The sequence below is a fragment of the Homo sapiens genome, chromosome 3 (assembly GCF_000001405.40).
Source record: "Homo sapiens chromosome 3, GRCh38.p14 Primary Assembly".
In the NCBI taxonomy this organism is placed as follows: Eukaryota; Metazoa; Chordata; class Mammalia; order Primates; family Hominidae; genus Homo; species Homo sapiens.
Genome location: NC_000003.12, coordinates 124,541,193 through 124,560,472, shown reverse-complemented (window position 1 = coordinate 124,560,472; position 19,280 = coordinate 124,541,193). Strand labels below are relative to the sequence as shown.

At 44.5% G+C, this 19,280-nt stretch overlaps 1 protein-coding gene and 1 long non-coding RNA gene across 27 annotated transcripts in view, besides 2 other annotated features; one reads left to right on the top strand and one right to left on the bottom strand.

The window, feature by feature from the left end:
- Positions 1–15,231, top strand: part of LOC105374076 (uncharacterized) — a 39,318-nt gene extending 24,087 nt beyond the window's left edge. The window contains exons 3-4 of one of the 3 annotated variants that reach the window (XR_001740872.2): positions 5,252–5,386; positions 15,093–15,231. This is a non-coding gene — a long non-coding RNA (uncharacterized LOC105374076). Of the gene's footprint in view, positions 1–2,541; positions 2,628–5,251; positions 5,871–15,092 lie in introns of those variants that run through there. The other 2 variants (XR_007096040.1, XR_007096041.1) reach the window with 2 other exon arrangements.
- KALRN (kalirin RhoGEF kinase) overlaps positions 1–19,280 on the bottom strand; it is a 692,957-nt gene that overhangs the window by 165,853 nt on the left and 507,824 nt on the right. The gene's annotated exons all lie outside the window — the stretch shown is intronic.
- Positions 4,592–4,783: a silencer, noted in NCBI's record as "fragment chr3:124274537-124274728 (GRCh37/hg19 assembly coordinates)". NCBI's record gives its function as "represses an EF-1alpha promoter that drives an FKBP-Casp9 reporter gene in an ReSE screen in phorbol 12-myristate 13-acetate-treated (for megakaryocytic differentiation) K562 erythroleukemia cells {active_cell/tissue: K562(+PMA)}" and the evidence as "EXISTENCE:reporter gene assay evidence [ECO:0000049][PMID:32094911]".
- Positions 14,844–15,013: a silencer, noted in NCBI's record as "fragment chr3:124264307-124264476 (GRCh37/hg19 assembly coordinates)". NCBI's record gives its function as "represses an EF-1alpha promoter that drives an FKBP-Casp9 reporter gene in an ReSE screen in K562 erythroleukemia cells {active_cell/tissue: K562}" and the evidence as "EXISTENCE:reporter gene assay evidence [ECO:0000049][PMID:32094911]".

Here is a 19,280-nt window from a genome sequence, read left to right as displayed (position 1 = left end):
ATCCCACTAATTTGATTCCACCTCGCTAATGGACTCTGTAGAATGCCGGCCTAGATGACTGAAATTCTTTCTAACTGAGAGACTCTCTATCACTGAGCTTCTGCACCTCAGTAGAGCTGCTCCTCTGCGACCACGCCAGGGGCTCAGGGTTGCTTCTTGAGGCCAAGCTCACACATAGCTGGGGATGCAACTTGCAGCCCTTTCAGGGCAACATGGTTGAATCCAGGGATGAGTGTAGTCCTTTTGCAGACTGTTAGAGCAGAAGGGGCCTGAAGCTCTAGTTGCAAACAGCCCAGCATGGCACCCAGATACAAGACCCACTTCCCTCTAGGGTGGGTTACAATCAGACCCATGGGCTGGACGGGAGAGGATAAAAATCAGGCTTCTGTCTCTCTACAATTCAAGACACAGTTCCTGGCGAGAAGCCTAGATACGCCACTAGATGGCAGTGTTTGCCTCCTGTAGGCTGCCTAGTCCAGCCAAAGGAAGAAGTGGAAACAAGATCAATGGGCAATTTCTTCCATGCTCACACGTTGTAGACAACCGGGCTCAAGCTTTAGATACAGCCCAAAAGCCATTATGGTTCAAATAGATGATGAATATCCTGGTTCACTTCACCTCAATGGCTTGATCAAAAAGATATACTACACCAGGTCCCTACCCTGGCAAGAAGCGAATTCCAAAGAATGGCCAACAAGGGAGGGTGCTGGGGAAATGGTTTGAGGGGTCAGGCAGAGCTGCTCCTGCAACAGTCCCTCCCATCCTCTCCTCCAGGGATGCTGTAGGGTAAGATTCTAAGACCAAAGTTATTCCTACTCAGGGAGATGCTGGGAGCTGAGTAGGCAGCACAGAATCTCGGCATGCATTCAGGTTATGTTTTTGATTCTTCTCTGATCTTGTACCCCTGCTTCTGGAATCTTCTCTCATCTTACTCCCCTCACTGTATGCTCCCACTCCAGCAGCGAGTCCCTGTCTGGCCTTTCATGCCTAAGTCTTGGCCCCCTTCCCAGGAGCTCTCAGATATTTTCTCTGCCTAATTCCCTAGAACCCTGCCTAAGGCCTGCTAAGCCTTCTTGATGCTAATTGTCTGCCTGGCTTCCCTCCAAGTGCCTGCTGCTGAGTCACCATCCAACTCCTTGTCCTTACTTTCCCAGTCTCTCTCCTTTCTGGGTCCTGGCCATTCCCAGTGGGGCCTGTTCCCCTGCTGACCAATCCCTGGGTGGACACGGCCTCCTTCACCCTCCGCAATGCTTCCCAGAGGGGCAGAAGGAGCTCCTCCTGTCCTCACTTTCCTCCAGCTCCACAGTGATAGCTGTGCTGGCTTCTTTCCAGCATGGACCGCTACATACATAAGGGACATTTCGTAACCACTCTTTGTAACTCCATCTGCATTTTCAAAGTTCTCACGTTCACCAGAAATGATCATTTTCATTTAGGTCTATTTTTACATGATTAATATTTGGGGATTAACTGAACCTCCTTCTTGTATAAACTGTGTGAGCTAGATTGTCCCTTTGAGCTTCCTCATGTTATGGAAAAGACACAGTTATTCTGTGATGGTTTCCCAATGGCATCCAGAGAGTGAGGACAGGACCCCTGAAGAATTCTCCTGTTGTCATTTCAGAGCTTCCATTTGTGCACCTCTGTGTCTCTGCTCCATTCTCCAAGGCAGCATAGCCTCGTTTAGGGCATGGGCTCTGCAGCTCCTCACCAACTGTGTGACCAGGAGCAAGTTACTTCACCTCTTTGTCTCAATTTCTTCATCTGTCAAATGGGGATAATGACAGTATCTACTTCACAGCTTGTTGTGAAGATTAAATGAGATAGTATTAAAGCACCTAGGATAGTGCCTTAAGCAGAGAGAGCTAAATGATTGTCTAAAAAATAAGTTCTGGGCTGGGCGCAGTGGCTCGTGACTGTAATCCCAGCATTTCGGGAGGCCGAGGGCGGTGGATCACTTGAGGTCAGGAGTTCCAGACCAGCCTGGCCAACATGTTGAAACCCTGTTTCTAATAAAAATACAAAAAATTAGCCAGGTGTGGTGGTGCACACCTGTATTCCCAGCTACTCAGGAGGCTGAGGCAGGAGAATTGCACAAACCTGGGAAGCAGAGGTTGCAGTGAGCCGAGATCATGCCATTGCACTCCAGCCTGGGAGTCACAGTGAGACTCCCTCTCAAAGAAAAAAAAAAATTCTGGCGGTATTAGTGAATTATTATTTAAATTTGGGAGGAAAGGAGTACAGAAGAAATTTTAAACATCAATTTTGATGGCATGTTGTTTGGTAACAGACTGTATCAACTGTATATATGCATATACATTATTATGTAAGTGAATCCTTTTTTTTAAAGTAATCTTCATGGAGTTTTGCCCTAACTAGAAGAACTGACCCTGAGGCTCACTAGGGAAGGTGACTCAGACCTCCCTCAAATCAGCACATACTTTTCCTGTTATGATAAAAACAAAGACATGGTGGGACCGAGGAATCCCTTATGCAAAATGAGGATTCACTCTTGCCTCTTCATTCCGCATTGCTTTCCAGGAAGCTTCCATGTGAAGAAGCCCCCTTACCCCAGAATCTGATACCTGCCCTCAATACTTGCCAACTGAGCCTTCTAACTGTGAATACTGACTTCTGACACTGCCTTGCAGAGCACTTGGATCTGATACTCTTGACAGAGGGGGAGCTGTGCCCAAGAGCGCCCATCAGATAAGTCCGACCTCCTCTTCCTCCCCTGGCTGCCTGCCCTGCAACTTCTTCCATCTGATCATCTGATTCCTCCACAACTCTTAGCCAGCCTTAGGCACCAAGTTCACATGAATTAACATCTACATATGAACAGCCTCACAGGAGGCCAGAGCTGGCTGGCAAAAAATGTAAAGCTGGAGCATATCTACTTGGCACAGTTTCAAGGGCACCGTGAAGTCCTGCCAACTCCTGTGCAAAAACTGTCTTTCTCTCCTCCCCTCAACACTCCCTGCACCTGCTGCTAATGCCTGGAATTCCTCCATCAGAAAGTGATTTCATTTAATTAGGTAATGTCCCTTAACATGAAACACCTCAAACCAGACTATGATTCCCTTCCAAATGCAAAAAGATGAGATGCACCACACAAGTGACATGCAGCTGTACTTTAAGCATGAAAATGCTCATAATAGCATTTTTTCAAATGAAGAAAATTTTACAACAATAACATCACCGCCCCCCTGCCCCAATACTAAAATATAAAAATCTACCCAGTGGGAAGTGGATGAGGGTTAAAAAGCTACCTATTGGGTACTATGCTCACTATCTAGGTGACGGGATCATTTGTACCCAAAACCTCAGCATCACACAATATACCTAGGTGACAAAACTGCATGTGTAACCCTTGAATCTAACATGGAAGTTGAAATTACTTAAAAAACCTAACAGGAAGGGAATGGTTAAATAATTATGATATATCTACTAAGTGAGTAATTAATTATGCAGCCATTAGATTATTTATAAAGCTTTGTAATAGCTTAAATACTTATATAAAGTAAAAAATTTTTTAAGAGGACAAGACGTACAGTTGTATATATAACTGTGTGAACATCATCAACAACTTAGCAACCCTATTCATAGGAAACAGAAGGAAAATTCGTTGAAATGTTAACACTGGTATTGTTGGGTGGTGCACTCTGGGTAATTTTCCCTCTGGCTTTCTGATCTCCAGTATTGCCCAGTGTTTCTCACATAAGTGCTGCTTTATAATGAAAGTAATGATAACATCAACAATAACAATCTCTAAAACAAATCAACAAAGGTAATGGGGAAAAATGCAAATATTTCAAGGAGGTGTAACACTTTGAGGGGAGAAATGGGGGAGCGGATAGACAGTTTCCAATTTTGCTCTAGGGCCACTATAGAAGCTTCAGGAAAGCCCCAAATTGCTGATGATGCTTTAGTATAGCTGCTTCAAATCCTTCCTCTACTAAACTTCTGTCCTCGCCCTACTATAAAACTCTGAAGGCTTCTCCAGAAACTAGGTTCCATTAAAAGAGCTTAGTGCTGTGCTTTTATCTTGAATTGATTATAATTTTTTTTTTAGCAAATGTGTAAAGCAATGTCTGGGCATTTAGGAACATTGTCGTGGAGCTCTGGGATTTCATCAGTTTGTATGTTGGAAGCCCATGGAGCTGCCAGGTCCAATTAAGAGGCTAAAGCTTACAATTTACTTTATCTTTGCTTGCTGGAACTGTGGCTTCTACTAACTGCAACTGAAGGAGCTGTTTGGTTTAGTTGTTTCCCATGGTGTGTAAATGAGCACCATGGTCCCCTGGTCTTGCAGGTCTTGTGAATTGCATAGTAATTAATAGTGGGAAGAATGCAGGAGTGGGAATCAGGAGGCCTTGGTGCTGGTGCAGGTTTTACCCATGTATGACACTCAGCAAACCCCTTCCCTTCTTCATACCTAAATTTCCTCATTTTTAAGATGAGGAAATTGGACTCCAGGGCTGCTTCCAGTTTTAATATTTGATAAATAGAGTAGTTTCTATATTGAATCTCTAACACACAGTGCTACTGAATTTTCTTGAGCACTTATCATTAATGTGTTGCCTTGTTTACATAAATTATGTGTTACTCTTATCCTATGTAAGATACAGAAGAGCAGAGCATTCCGTCTTGCTCATGGTCCTATCTCCCGAGTTTAGAGCAATGCCTGGCACACAGCAGGTGATAAATATCTGTTGAATGCGCGAGTGAATAAATTCCATGAATTATTGCCTGATATATAACTGAGATGCCTAGTTACAATGTCTGAGAGGTGTCTCCCATTGGCTGCCCACCTATTCCTATTAGTATCTTACAGATAACTGTTAATTTTTTTTTCTCAGCCCCTTTCAACCAAATTTATCTTGCCCTTTAATCATGTGACTATATCTCCATGAATTCCTAAACCTGACAAAAACAACATAAGGTGTTAGTGGGGGGAGACACAAATCCACAAGAACAAAGAGAATGGGAGGTAGTAAACAAGATAACTTTATTTATTTATTTATTTATTTATTTATTTATTTATTTATTTATTTATTTTGGGACAGAGTCTCGCTCTGTCACCCAGGCTGGAGTGCAGTGGTGCGATCTCCGCTCACTGCAAGCTCTGCCTTCCGGGTGCACGCCATTCTCCTGACCTCGTGATCCGCCCACCTCGGACTCGCAAAGTGCTGGGATTACAGGCGTGAGCCACTGCGCCGGGCTGAGAACTTTTTTTTTTCTTTAATGATAGAAAGCAGATGCAAGAATGATACTGACTTGGTAGAATGAGAAGATGAGATTCAAGCTCCTGCCAGTTATCTCTGCTCAACCCTCAGACAGCCCCAGGGAGTGGAAGCACCAGACGGCACTGAGGATGGACCTACAGGTGGGGCTAAAACAGGAAGATGGGACTCCTAGATCCCTCTTCTATCCTATGCGCACTTTCCTGAAAAATGAAATTCAGTGAAGGCTTAAATGTAGAATGGAGAGATGGCTAGTATCCTTGTCCCTCTTGGATCCCAGAATGCTAGCAGCCACATATAAACATGTTAGGGAGATTTTAGAATCATTCATGGGAGAAACCAAAAGATGTACAGATACTCAAATACTGACACTTAGAGATCCCTCTCTGCTCCCAAAACCTCCAGTGTCCTGCCAGATCACTTCACAGTGAGAACTTTAAGTCAACAAGTTCCTTCCTTTACACAGAATATTGAGTCAGCCTTTGTGCCTCAGTCATAAATGTGAATATTCAGCTATAGATTACCAGACTTTTCAGAAAAACCTCTCTAACAGAGACCAAAATAAATAAACAGAAAAAGGACCAGGAACTCAGAGGAAACAAAATGCAAGCAGGACAATAAAACATCAGTAACACTATAAAATCCTCAGAAAGATAAGAGAGGATATTGTATCCATGAAAAAAGAACAAGCTGTTACATAAAGGGAAAAAGTTGTAGAGTGAGAAAGAGCTCTCAGAAGTTAAAAATGTTATGGCTGAAATGAGACATTTCATAGATGAGTTGCAAGATAATGTCAAGGAAATTTTCCAGAAAATGGAACAACAACCCTGAAAAAGGAGAATGTAATCTGAGGGCCTTTTGGTCAAGTTGTGCTGCTGGCTTCCTTTGAGCATGTAGCCTACTAAAAACCCCAACTTAATTCACAGGGGCTTCTCAAACCTCCACCTCCCAGGTCAAGTGATTCTCCTGCCTCTGCCTCCCAAGTAGCTGGAATTACAGGCGCATGCCACCAAACCTGGCTAATTTTAGTATTTTTAGTGGAGATGGGGTTTCGCCATGTTACCCAGGCTGGTCTCGAACTCCTGGGCTGAAGTGATCCTCCCACCCTGGCCTCCCAAAGTGCTAGAGTTACAGGCGTAAGCCACGGTGCCTGGCCTGTGCCTGTTCTTTATCTCTGTACTCCCTGCCTAGGCTTCAGAGAACATCTAACTAGACACTGACTCAAGTTTGGGTGAGAAGGGCAGAGCCATACTCTCCTCGGGGAAAGAAGAGGCAGTAGTAGCAACTGGTATTTATTCTCCCTTCTATCTTCATCTCATTGCCCCTGGGGAACCCACACAAGTTGTCAATAGAGATGCGGCTGGGAGGATTAACCCACTGGCAACTTTGCCTCTGCAACACTGACCCTCAGGCTGGAGGTAACTGTCCAACTGTCCTGTCTACAGGGAGGCATCTCCTGGCTCCTTTGTGCTTAACTGAGGCTGTCTATACTGCTGTTTTGATTGTGCTTGCACAGGAAGGCATTTCCTGCAACACACCCTATAGCTTTGGAAGGAGGAAAGAGCTCATAGACATGATTCTGAAAATCCCAAGGCTACCTATAGAAGAGGGAGGAGAGGTGGCTGGGTGAAACCTGATCAAAAAGAGCAATTCATGGTTAGAGAGAGAGAAGAAGTTACGGGCTTCTCTGAAAGCCCCAGGCATTCCTGCAAATTGTCTACTGTATGGACTGTGCAACACTGGAAAACTGAGCTTCAGAGGAAACCAGGCCAAAGACCAGAGACGATTTTCACAGAAGTGCAAAATGTCATCAAACCTCAGTTATTCAGATGTGGGTAACCATTTCCCTTTCTGTGGATTACTGGGTCTGGAGCTAGACTGCTTAGGTTTGAATCTGTCTCAATCGCTACTATCTGTATCATCTGGAGCAAGTTAATTAGTCTCTCTTTGGCTCATTTTCCTTATCTGTAAAGTAGGAATCATATTAATTCCTGCCATATAGAGTTATTGGAAGGATTACATTAACACAGGTAAACCCTGATATGCATTACATGCTTAATAGATGTTATATATTGTTTATCCAGTAATCATAACTTGGCATGCACTTGAGATGTGTTTTCTTGCACTGATATCTTGTGTCGAGGGAGTAGAAATCCATTTCCAGGGCTGGGCGCGGTGGCTCACGCCTGTAATCCTAGCACATCAGGAGGCCGAGGTAGGCAGATCACCTGAGGTCAGGAGTTCGAGACCAGCCTGGTCAACATGGTGAAACCCTGTCTCTACCAAAAATACAAAAATTAGCCGGGCATGGTGGCGGGCGCCTGCAATCCCAGCTACTTGGGAGGCTGAGGTGGGAGAATCACTTGAACCTGGGAGGCGGAGGTTGCAGTGAGCAGAGATTGCACCACTGCACTCCAGCCTGGGCGACAAGAGTGAAACTCCATCTCAAAAAACAAACAAACAAAAATAAATCAATTTCCAAAGCACCCTTAATGACATATCTTGAGATAATCTGGCAGACTAGAAAGAAAAAAATAGTAAACTATTCCCAAACCCACGGTTCAAAGATTTAGTACCCTAAATTTAGGCTATAATTTCCCTTTGTAGGGCCACGGATGTGACTTTCTGCTCTTCCTATACTGGGCATCCTAGAGAAACAACAGATTGGAATCAGACTGGGAAGAGAATTCTTGGAACTGGTTGCCAAATCAGGGTAGATAATACATGTTTATTTACACTGTGGTTGTAGGGTGGAGGTCAAGGTATCCAGTCACACATAGAAACCTGGCAAACTAATTCCTGGAAAGAGGCCAAGCTCTCCTCTGGTTGACCAGGAAACTCTGGTTGGTCTAATTATTGTTAGGTAATCTGGGGACGGGCAGCCTGTCTGCCAGGACTGGAGATGGGAAGAGGGCACATGCGGAGCACCTGAGAGGGGAACAACCTGCCTCTGTAAGGGGTCTGGCTGGGAGCGGGGTGACTTACAGATTCGTGTTCAGAAGAAACAGCGCATTCTAAATGCTTTGATTCAGAAAGCAAATACTCCTGGTCACTGTCTCTCAGGCCAGAAGAAATGTCAGCAGACATCTTGTTAATTTTTCATCCTCAGGCAGACTAAGATAATAATTAACATCTGTATGGCCCTTTATAGTTTATAAACTATTTCATAGACATCATCTGACCCTCATAGATCTCATAAGGTTGGCATTATCATCCAATTTTATAGATGAGGAAATTGAGGCTCAGAGAGGTAAAATGACTAGCTAAAGATTGCATCCTAATAGCTAACTGCAAAGGCAGGACTCCAAGCCTAATGAGTCCAGCCTCCTCATCCATGCACTTATTCTTCTTCACCAGCCAGCTGCTGTGCTGGGCATGGGGCATACAGCAGTCAGGGAGACAGCTGTGATGTCCCTACCTGCACCATGCTTACAGTCTCTAAGGAGACACACATCACGTGTATGCATGCTGAATGTGACAACAGGAGAAATGAGGGATGCTGGCCCAGGGTTGGGGAATGGGGTCCCTCAGAAAGTGATTGGCTCTTACCAGTGCTGCCTCAGTCCATTGCTCCACTTGCTACTGCTGTGGTTGTGTCTTCTCAGAGCTGTTTATCTTGTTAGTTTGTGAGCCCTCCCTTGGCTGCAACAGTCAATAACATCTTCACGCCCGCTTAGCTAGGAGCCAGCAGGACCCTCGAGCATCTGCCTCTTTCTAGGTCAGTTGCTGAGCACCACCAACATGAGCCCATCTCCAGCTGTGCTGGCACCACCCCAGATCCAGCACATGTGCCCAGCAATGAGTAGAATTGGTATCAGCAACGGAAAGGGTTCCCAGCATCTTAAAGCATCTTCATGTCAAGTTTTTGCCCTCAGCAAATTACTGTTAGGGTTTCCCCTTATCCCTGACCTTACCTTCTTCAGTGTAAAGACAGGCCTTTATCTATGACCCCATACTTTCCATTTGCTCAGGTTAACCCACTTACTGGGTGAGTCCTAATGTGATTTTCTGCTCCCATCTGCTATTGTTGGTTGGTTTTGCTTTGGGACTGACTGCTTCCCCATGCCTCACCTCTGGTTCATGACATCATGCCTCCTTTGTCTCCTCCTCTCACCATCCTCTCTGGATACCAACCATCATGACATGCCCTCTAGGGAACACTTTGTACTGTTCCCTTGAACATGTGCATGGTTTATGATCCAGCTCCATCTTAACTTTTTATTTATTTATTTATTTATTTTGAGACGGAGTCTTGCTCTGTCACCCAGGCTGGAATGCAGTGGTGCGATCTCGGCTCACTGCAAGCTCCATCTCCCGGGTTCATGCCATTCTCCTGCCGCAGCCTCCCGAGTAGCTGGGACTACAGGCGCCCACCACCACGCCCGGCTAATTTTTTGTATTTTTAGTACAGACGGGGTTTCACCGTGTTAGCCAGGGTGGTCTCGATCTCCTGACCTCATGATCTGCCCACCTCGGCCTCCCAAAGTGCTGGGATTACAGGCGTGAGCCACTGCGCCTGGTCTTAACTTCTTAATTTTCAATTCAGACTGGCTCTCCAGGGACAAAAAGAGTAAAGGCAGAGGTCTAGTGGCACTAAGTAGCCACTAGAGGGAAGCAAAAGCTAGGCTTTTCTAAAGGAAACACGTGCTTGGGTTCCTTGATCAGAAGACTGGTCCCAAAGAGACTCATACTACACTGGCTAGGGCAACCACCAGCCCTCAGAGGAAATATAAGACAAAAAAAATTGCATACAGTAGGTGGCACATATTGGGGGCCCAATACATGTTTCCTGGATGAAATTCCTAATTTTAGAAATGAGAAAGCAGAGACTAGGGCAAGTAATGGGATCTGATCACAAAACTAGGTAGCATCGGGGCCCAGTCTTGCAGATTCTCTTTCCCTTACCCTGTACCAGGCCTCTTCCTCTTCCTCCCTTCCGGCTCCCTCCACTATAGCTCAGCCCAGATGAACTACCTGTCCATCCCAATCTCAAAATATTTTTGGAGAAACTGTAGTCATTTGAGAGAGACTCTTTTCTCTACCCCTTATGTCTGATCTATCACTTAGTCCTGCAAAGCTATTAAGTCTTTCCTTTGTCTCTTGGAAGCCCCTATGCTCATCCAGGTGTTCATCACCTGCCTCTCCATTTCTGCAGGTGTCTCCTCATTAACTGGTCTCTCCCACTGTCCATTCTTCTCATAACACTCTCTTATTTCAGAATTTACATGGGCTCTGCCATCCTTGTCCTGGCATTCAAAGCCCTTCATAACACTTCCCCACCCACTTCTTCAACCCCAGCTTCCACTACTTGTCTGTGTATTTTATCTGCTTGATCTCTTGAGGGTGCCCCAAATGTGTCCTGGCCATTTCTGCCTCTGGATTTCCATGGATGGGCAATGTTCCATCTCAATTGTTTCCCTTTTCCTCTCCAGACCCTGTCTTTCCTGCTTTTGGAGGTCAAGTACAACTCTCAATTCCCCACCTCTCTCACATTCTTTCACAGTGATTTCTACAGTGATGTCCCCTTCCTGGGACTAATTTTGTTCATCTTACACATTTTAACACTGAAGCGGTGAGAAGGACATATTTTGGATGGCTTGTGTGTATATATGTATATATTATAAAACTTTTGTGTATATATGTATATACTATAAAACTAAAATAAAACAGTATTCCCTATTTGGCTTACTGAATAGTCATTTTTAGAGTGGCTTCTTAGTTTTATCACTTTTCTCCTATTTTATGGCATTGTTTCAACAATAAGGCATCCCAGAGCTCTGTGTTTGGCATTAGTCAGAAGGACCCGTGTATGTGTGTGTGAGATTTTGTGTGTGTGTGTGTGTGATTGTGTGTGTGTGAGATTATGTGTGTGTGTGATTATGTGTGTGTGTGTGTGTGTGTGTGTGTGTTGGCTTCTTGGGGTTTTCTTTCCTTAAAAAAAAGTCAGTATTTCTAGTCCATAATCTGTGTTTCAGTTGGCAGTGGCAAGATAGAGGAGGCTGAGGGAATTGGTAAGTCTAGGAGCTTATAGACTACATCATGGTGATTTATAATCTGGGTTTTGAACTCAGCAGCCCTGAGTTTGAATTCAAGTTCCACCACTGACTAGCTGTTAGCTGTGTTACTGTAGAAATGTTAAAGATATAAGTTCTCTTTCTAAGCTTCAGTTCCTCGTCAATAATATTAGAACACTCAGTTCAGTTCCTCATTCAAAAAGATTAAGATAAGTACCAACTTAATAGGGCTGCTGTTTCAATTAAAGATTATCATGCATGGGACCAGGCACGGTGGTTCATGCCTATAATCCCAGCACTTTGGGAGGCTGAGGCAGGCAGATCACCTGAGGTGAGGAGTATGAGACCAGCCTAGCCAAGATGATGAAACCTCATCTCTGCTAAAAATACAAAAATTAGCCGGGCGTGGTGGCACATGCCTGTAATCCCAGCTACTTGGGAGGTTGAGGCAGGAGAATCATTTGAACCCAGGAGGTGGAGGTTGCAGTGAGCTGAGATTGCACCATTGCTCTCCAGCCTGGGCAACAAGAGTGAAACTCCATCTCAAACAAAATAAAACAAAAAGATTATAATGCATGTGAACACTTGATACCTACTTAATGGCTGTTGTTATTATTTGGTGTGATTGAGCCACTGAGGTCACATGGAATACTCCCTTCTAGACCTTCTGTCCCATTTTCCTGCTGAATGGCTCAGTGGTGCTGAGCAGAGAGGGTTCAGAAGAATTGGACAGTTTTGCCTTCCATTTGATAGCTGTAAGAGATGGGGGCTAGATAGTATGGGAGATAATTAAAATGTAGGTCCCATTAGAATATTTGGGCTAGATTTAAGATTTAATAGCTATGGCAAAATACAAAGTCAAGATGGCAGACCCTCCAAAAACTGGGAAGAGAGGGCAATTTTATCCTCCTTTAAATATAAGTCAACCATACCAATATGGATTGAGAGCAGCCAGATAGTTTCAGAGAAAGCAGAGAAAGTTCTACTTATCTTATAAATTTTTACAGTTCTTTCTTTCCTGTACCCCTTCCCCTGTAGTTATGAGTTTGGTAGCTAGAGAGAGCCAGCTTGACTTGAAATATGTCCTGGACAAAATATTATAAAAAAGAAAGTGAACAAGGACTTGGTGATGAAAACTTAGGCCCTTGGGAATACCAACCACACTCGCTGAGAGTTCCTTGTGGCAGTGCTTAGATGGAGAGCAAATTTCTTTTTATCTTTAGGAAAAATCAGAACCTGGAGGAACACTTGGGCAAGTTATAGAAAACCTGGAAATTGCCCCTGTGAGAAGGCTCCTATGCCCCCATTTTAGCAAACAGGGAGAAGAATGAGCTCTTAGCTATGGAGATGGTCGGTAGTATCAACCTCACAACATGTTTGGTACATGTAAGAGAAAAAAAAGAGAGTCCCCTGCTTGAGCCAAAAGGTTTGGTATACATAGGGGTAAGGGGGTAGCTGGGGGGTGGGGAGGGGCACAACCATAACCAGCATCATGACAGGGGAGCCACATTGTAACCATCAGATATCCTTTCTCCCTTCCTGCTCTCCTGGGACTTTAGCTACAGGCAATATATTGGATTCCAATCTAGAGACAGTCACTCTGGGTACAGGTTGGGCATGGTGGCTCATGCCCTATAACCCTAGCACTTTGGGAGGCCCAGGCAGGAGGATTGCTTCAGGCCAAGAGTTCAAGACCAGCCCAGGCAACACAGCCCTGCCTCTACAAAAATAAAAAAATTAGTTGGCATGGTGGTATGAGCCTGTAGAACCAGCTACTCAGGAGGCTGAGGTGGGGGGATTGCTTGAGCCCTGGAGTTGGAGGCTGCAGTGAGCTACGATTGTGCCACTGCACTCCAGCCTAGATGACCAAGCGAGACCTTGTCTGTAAAAAATACTAAATAAATAAAAATTATTTTGGCCTGGCACAGTGGATTATACCTACAATCCCAGCACTTTGAGAAGCCCAGGCAGGAGGATAGCTTGAGGCCAGAAGTTCGAGGCCAGCCTGGGCAACACAGTGAGATCCTTGCCTCTATAAAAATAAATAAATAAAATTTAAAATAAATTAAAATAAATTAAAATGGAATTTAAAAAAGAGGTGCTCCTCTCCCGGTGCTTTGACCACCCCTTCTGGAGGGTTTTGGTCGACTTCAAACCAATTTGGTTTCTAAAAGGAAGAGACTGCATAGAAAGTTCTCCTTTAAGGCTGACTTCAAGTTCTTTGTTCATTCATTCGCTCATTCATTCATTCAACAAATCCGTGTGAGTATTCTGCCTCTGGATTCACAGCCAGGACAGAATGTAGTTCCCAAATACCTGCCCCAAGCCCACAGACATGTATCCCCAGCATATATGGGCCAGGATGTCTCTGTATTCTCGAAGTTCTCTCACAGCTAAGACCTTCCTAAACTGCATTTTTACCAGCCTCCTCCACCTGCTTCTCATCTCCCTGAAAAGGCTTCACTAGACTCTGAGACCTACAAGAGATCCTTCCGAGACACTCCCTCTCTCCTTTCAGCTGCATCTAAGATGGATCCACACTGGGCGCTTTTGGGTCTAAGACCATCCCCTATATTGTGAGGGTACAAGGTTTCCATGGTGAAGGAGGCATTCTGATTTTGTACTTCTCTTTCCCTAACCCCCAACCCAGCTTCCACAACAACCCTCTTCTATATTGGAGTCCATATGAAGTCACTGTTAAAATCACCACTGTCTGCCTTTCTTTCTTTCTCTCTCTCTCACTCTTTTTATTGACATAAGGTCTCACTCTATCACCCAGGCTGGAGTGCAGTGGCATGACCACGGTTTATTGCAGTCTTGACCTGCCAGGTTCAAGTGATCCCCCCAGCTCAGCCTCCCAAGTAGCTGGGACTACAAGGTACATGCCACTATACCTGGCTAATTTTTTTTTTTTTTTTTTTTTTTGAGAGATGGGGGTCTCACTATGTTGCCAGAGCTGGTCTTGAACTCCTGGGCTCAAATGATCTGCCCACCTCCCAAATTACCAGGATTACAGGTGAGACTGGCCATATCACTGCCTTTTAATCACTAAGCACTTTGACAAAGTAACAGAGTTGTCAACAAAAAGGACAATGGTGGTTATCTTCTTTTGAAAATGGCCATTGTATTTAAAAATGGGATTAGTGGCTAAGTGCCTTCCCTTTCCCATAGTAAGTTACTCTCCAGGTTTTCTAGTTGCTTCTGTTTATATTAAGGGAACTAGAAAAAGGGAGACGACTTACGGAAAAAATTCCTATGTGTGATCTCTGCTTTCTCAACCATAATGCATCTCTTTTCTCAGTCACGTGTGGGTGGGGTTATGTTCTGAGCTTGGGCTGAGAGATTTCAGAGTTAAGACGGTTGCTGTCCTTATCTAAAATAATGTTCCTTTAGAGAGGTCTGGGCTCTCTAGGACATCAAAGAAGCATCATCAAGGTGAGGCTGCATCATAAAGTCTCAGCCAGCATCCCATACCTTCCTTAATGGGGACGCTGAACAGAGGTTACATGAGACATCCACAATTAAGGTGGGATAGCCCCCTCACAGCAGGTGGGGCCCAACCCCCTGCCCTGGCCTCTGGGTTGAGGTTGTTGAGACCCAGCCTAGAGACTCCATCTCTTCTAGCAAAGGGCAGGAAGCAGAGGTCCCTCACCCCTGGGCTCTAGGACAGTCATGTCCCTGTGTGAGCTTCCCACACTGCCTACAGTTGCTGCCAGCAGCAATGAAATGGATTCTTGAAAAAAAATCTCAGCATATAAGATTTGAGAAAAGAAAAATACCCTACACATCAGGGACCCTTGAAATTATAGCAATAAATTTATGATTCATTCCCTAGGCATAAAACTACTGTGTTACAGCCACTACCAATGCCACTGAATTTCCCAGGGTCTAATGTTGACCTCAGGCTCGCCAGCAAAGGAGGAAGAACATAAGAGACCTCAATATTTAGAGGGTTTTACATTTCCTATACAAAAAAAGAGCAAACGAAGAGTGAAGAGCTAGCTGCTACAGTAAAAGAGGTAGGATTATTGGTCAATGTGTAGCAAATCAAATGTTAGGTAATATAGGAATTGTGGGAACCTTCCTGGTATCACATATTCTTAAATGCAGCAAGATCATAGAGAAAAAGCATGGATATCACTCCTGGCCTTAAAATTTAAGTGGGCTCCCTTTGTGTACAACAAAATCCTAACTCCTTCACAAACATCCTCTAGTACCTGCCTTTCTGATCTCACCTTATTCCACAGCAACTACAGTCTGCAGGCCCAGCCACACAGTGGCTTTGGTCAGCTTCCCTTCTGCCTAGAGCACCCTACCCTCCAGTCCACATCTGCCAAGTTGTCCTGCCCCTTTAGGATTGAGCTCAGTTTCCATACTAATTGATTAATTATCTTACTGATTCATTGAACAATACTTACAAAGTGCTTATTATGTGCCAGGCACTCCTTTAGGCCCTGGGGATACAGCACTGAACACAACAAACACTTTTGCCCTCATGGAGTTTGTATTCTTGAGGATGTAATCAAGATAATGACAAAATAATCAAGATGTTACATAGTGAGATCTATATCTATATCTATATAGATATATAGATATACATAGATATATCTGTATCTATATCGATATAGATGTATCGATATAGATAGTTTTGTTTTGTTTTGAGATGGAGCTCTGTCGCCCAGGCTGGAGGGCAGTAGTGCAATTTCCTCTCACTGCAACCTCCGCCTCCCGGGTACAAGTGATTCTCCTGTCTCAGCCTCCCAAGTAGCTGGGATTACAGGCACCCACCACCACGCCTGACTCATTTTTGTATTTTTAGTAGAGACAGGGTTTTGCCATGTTGGCTAGGCTGGTCTCGAACTCCTGACCTCAGGTAATCTGCCCACCTTGGCCTCCCATAGTGCTGGGATTACAGGCATGAGCCACTGCACCTGGCCCCCTTGTGATAAGTATTGAAGGGAAAAATAAAGCAAGGAAAGGATATGAAAAGTGCCAGTGTGCATGTATGGTAATGGAGTGGTTTGCATATCTTCTGCAAGGCTTTACAAACCCCACAGCTACTGAATTGTTTCCTTCCTTCATGTTCCCAACACACATGACAGTTTCCTTTATTACAGTATTTAACATAAGCTTAGGTAACTTCATGACAGAATTTAATGTAAGCTTCCATGTTATTTATATTTGGGCTAGTTACATATATGGGTCATGCTCTGCAACTAGAGTTGGGGTACCTAGAGGCTTTGTACCTTCAAACCCCTGCCCCTAGACATGATTCACATAGCATCTGTTCACTCAGTGTTTCCTGAATTGAAAGAAAACTCTGCCCACAGAAGTCAGAATCTAATGCACCCTTGCTTCTGTTTTTCCCTTGTCTTTCTTTTCTTATACTGTTCTCTCCCTGTTTTACCCTTTTGTTCACATTAGAGGTTTTCTCAATATTATCCTGAGAAGACATCCTTATAAATTAATTTCTCTTCTACTAATTACTGCCGAATGAGAATTATCTTTCATCAAGTAATAAAAAAAAAAAACCTGCTGATTTCTGATGGAAACTCATTTATAAAGAAAATGCCACATTAAAAGAAACCTGTGGTGTTTTGAAAATATGTCCACAAGGCCGGGCGCGGTGGCTCACACCTGTAATCCCAGCACTTTGGGAGGCCGAGGTGGGCGGATCAAGAGGTCAGGAGATCGAGACTATCCTGGCTAACACAGTGAAACCCCGTCTCTACTAAAAATATAAAAAATTAGCTGGGCGTGGTGATGGGTGCCTGTAGTCCCAGCTACTCGGGAGGCTGAGGCAGGAGAATGGTGAGAACCTGGGAGGCGGAGCTTGCAGTGAGCCGAGATCACGCCACCGCACTCCAGCCTGGGGGACAGAGTGAGATTCCGTCTCAAAAAAAAAAAAAAAGTCCGTAAATTTTTTTAATACCTCACCCTTCAGGGATTGGTGGAATTGAATTCCTCTCTCCTCTACTTGAGTGTGGGCTGGGTTTAGTGACTACTTCGAATGTGTAGAATATGACGGAAGTGTTGATGCGTGACCTCTGAAACTAGGGGATAAAAGGCATTGCTGCTTCCTCCTTGTTCTCTACTAAATCACTCACTCCGGGGGAAGCCAGCCACCGTGTCGTGAGGACATTTAAGCAGCCCTAGAGAGAGGTCCGCAAGGTGAGAAACTGAGGCCGCCTGCTGACAGCCATGTGAGGGAGCCACCTTGGAAGCAGATCTAGCCCCAGTCAAACCTCCAGATGCCTGCAGCTCCAAGCAACACCTTGACTACCGCCTCACAAGAAACCCTGGGCCAGAAACACCAGGCAAAGCCAATCTTGGATTTCTGACCCACAGAAACTACTACATAATAAATATTGTTTTAAGTCTCTAAGTTTTGAAGTAATTTGTTAGGGAGCAATAGATAATTGAGTGAGCGTTACTCTGGTACTATCAGTGACATTGAGGAAGTCAATTAACCTCTCTAAGCCTTGGTTCCTCATCTGCACATAAAGGGAGTTTGGGTCAGAGGACTCAAAGGAATGCCAATGCTAACAACTTATTCTCTCTGAACAAAGCACTCTAGGAATAATGCAGTTTGGGTCAGCTATGTGTAAAGGGTAACAACCTTGAGCTCTCTGGGCTATTTCTGCAGATTCTGACAACAAGGGGTAGTCATCTGAAACCAGAGGTACAAGCTTTGTGCCGGAAAGTGACATTCAATTTAGAAAGGGATATCCAAAAATCCTACAAATGGAATATTTTATGCTTCGAGGGACTTACAGGAGGTAATATAATATGCTTTACGTGGGTGTGGTGCTTCATAGTTGACAAAGTGTTTTCATGTGTATCATTTCATTTAACCCTTATAAATCCCTCAACAGAAATTTGAGGCTCAAAGTTGCTCCAAGTCACACGGCTACTAAGTTCCAGAGCTGAAAACTGAACCACAAACTCTTTGTTGTTAAATTCTATTTTCCATTACTTTCAGCCGCCTCCCTGATGATTTACTTATTTTATTTTGATTATAATATTAAATTAAGCAGGCCAAGGACATTGTCTAACATGGCCACAACCCCTTCTACAAGAAGCTGCCCTGCTTATAGCTGCTGACAAGGCAGGCCTGAGGCAGCAGCATCTTCTATCACATAACGCCAGTCCATTCTGTGCCCACAGGTGATTGGACTAGGGTGGGCACTTGGCCCATGAAAAGCTACCCTAAGAAGATCTGGGCTTTTCTTTTGAGACAGCGTCTCCCTCTGTCACCCAGGCTGGAGTGCAGTGGCACCATCTCGGCCTGGGGCAAAAAAATGATCTGGGCTACCTTTTTTTTTAGACAGAGTCTCCCTCTGTAACCTGGGCTAGAGTGCAGTGGCACCATCTCAGCTCACTGCAACTCCCACCTCCTGGGTTCAAGCAATTCTCCTGCCTCAGCCTCCCGAGTAGCTGGGACTACAGGCATGCACCACCATGCCCGGCTAATTTTTGCTTTTTTTTTTTTTTTAGTAGAGATGGGGTTTCACCACGTTGGCCAGGTTGATCTCAAACTTCTGACCTCAAGTGATCAGAAGTGAAATCCCAAAGTGCTGGGATTACTGGCGTAAGCCACTGTGCCCGGCCGATCCAGGTTATCTTGAGAGAGCTCTTTTCCAAGCAACTAAATGAATTTAACTAAAGTCGGTAGGACTGATGTAAAATTAGCAAAATAAAACTGCGTGGTTATAAAGGTCCAAGAATTATATGGGTTTTTTTTTTAATTTTAATTTTAATTTTTTGAGATAGAGTCTCACTCTGCCACCAAGGCTGGAGTGCAGTGGCGTGATCTCGGCTCACTGCAACCTCCGCCTCCTGGGTTCAAGCAATCCTCCTGCCTCAGCCTCCTGAGTAGCTGGGATTACAGGCATGTGCCATCATGCCTAGCTGATTTTTGTATTTTCAGTAGAGATGGGGTTTCACCACGTTGGCCAGGCTGGTCTCAAACTCCTGACCTCAAGTGATCCACCTGCCTCAGCCTCCCAAAGTGCTGGGATTA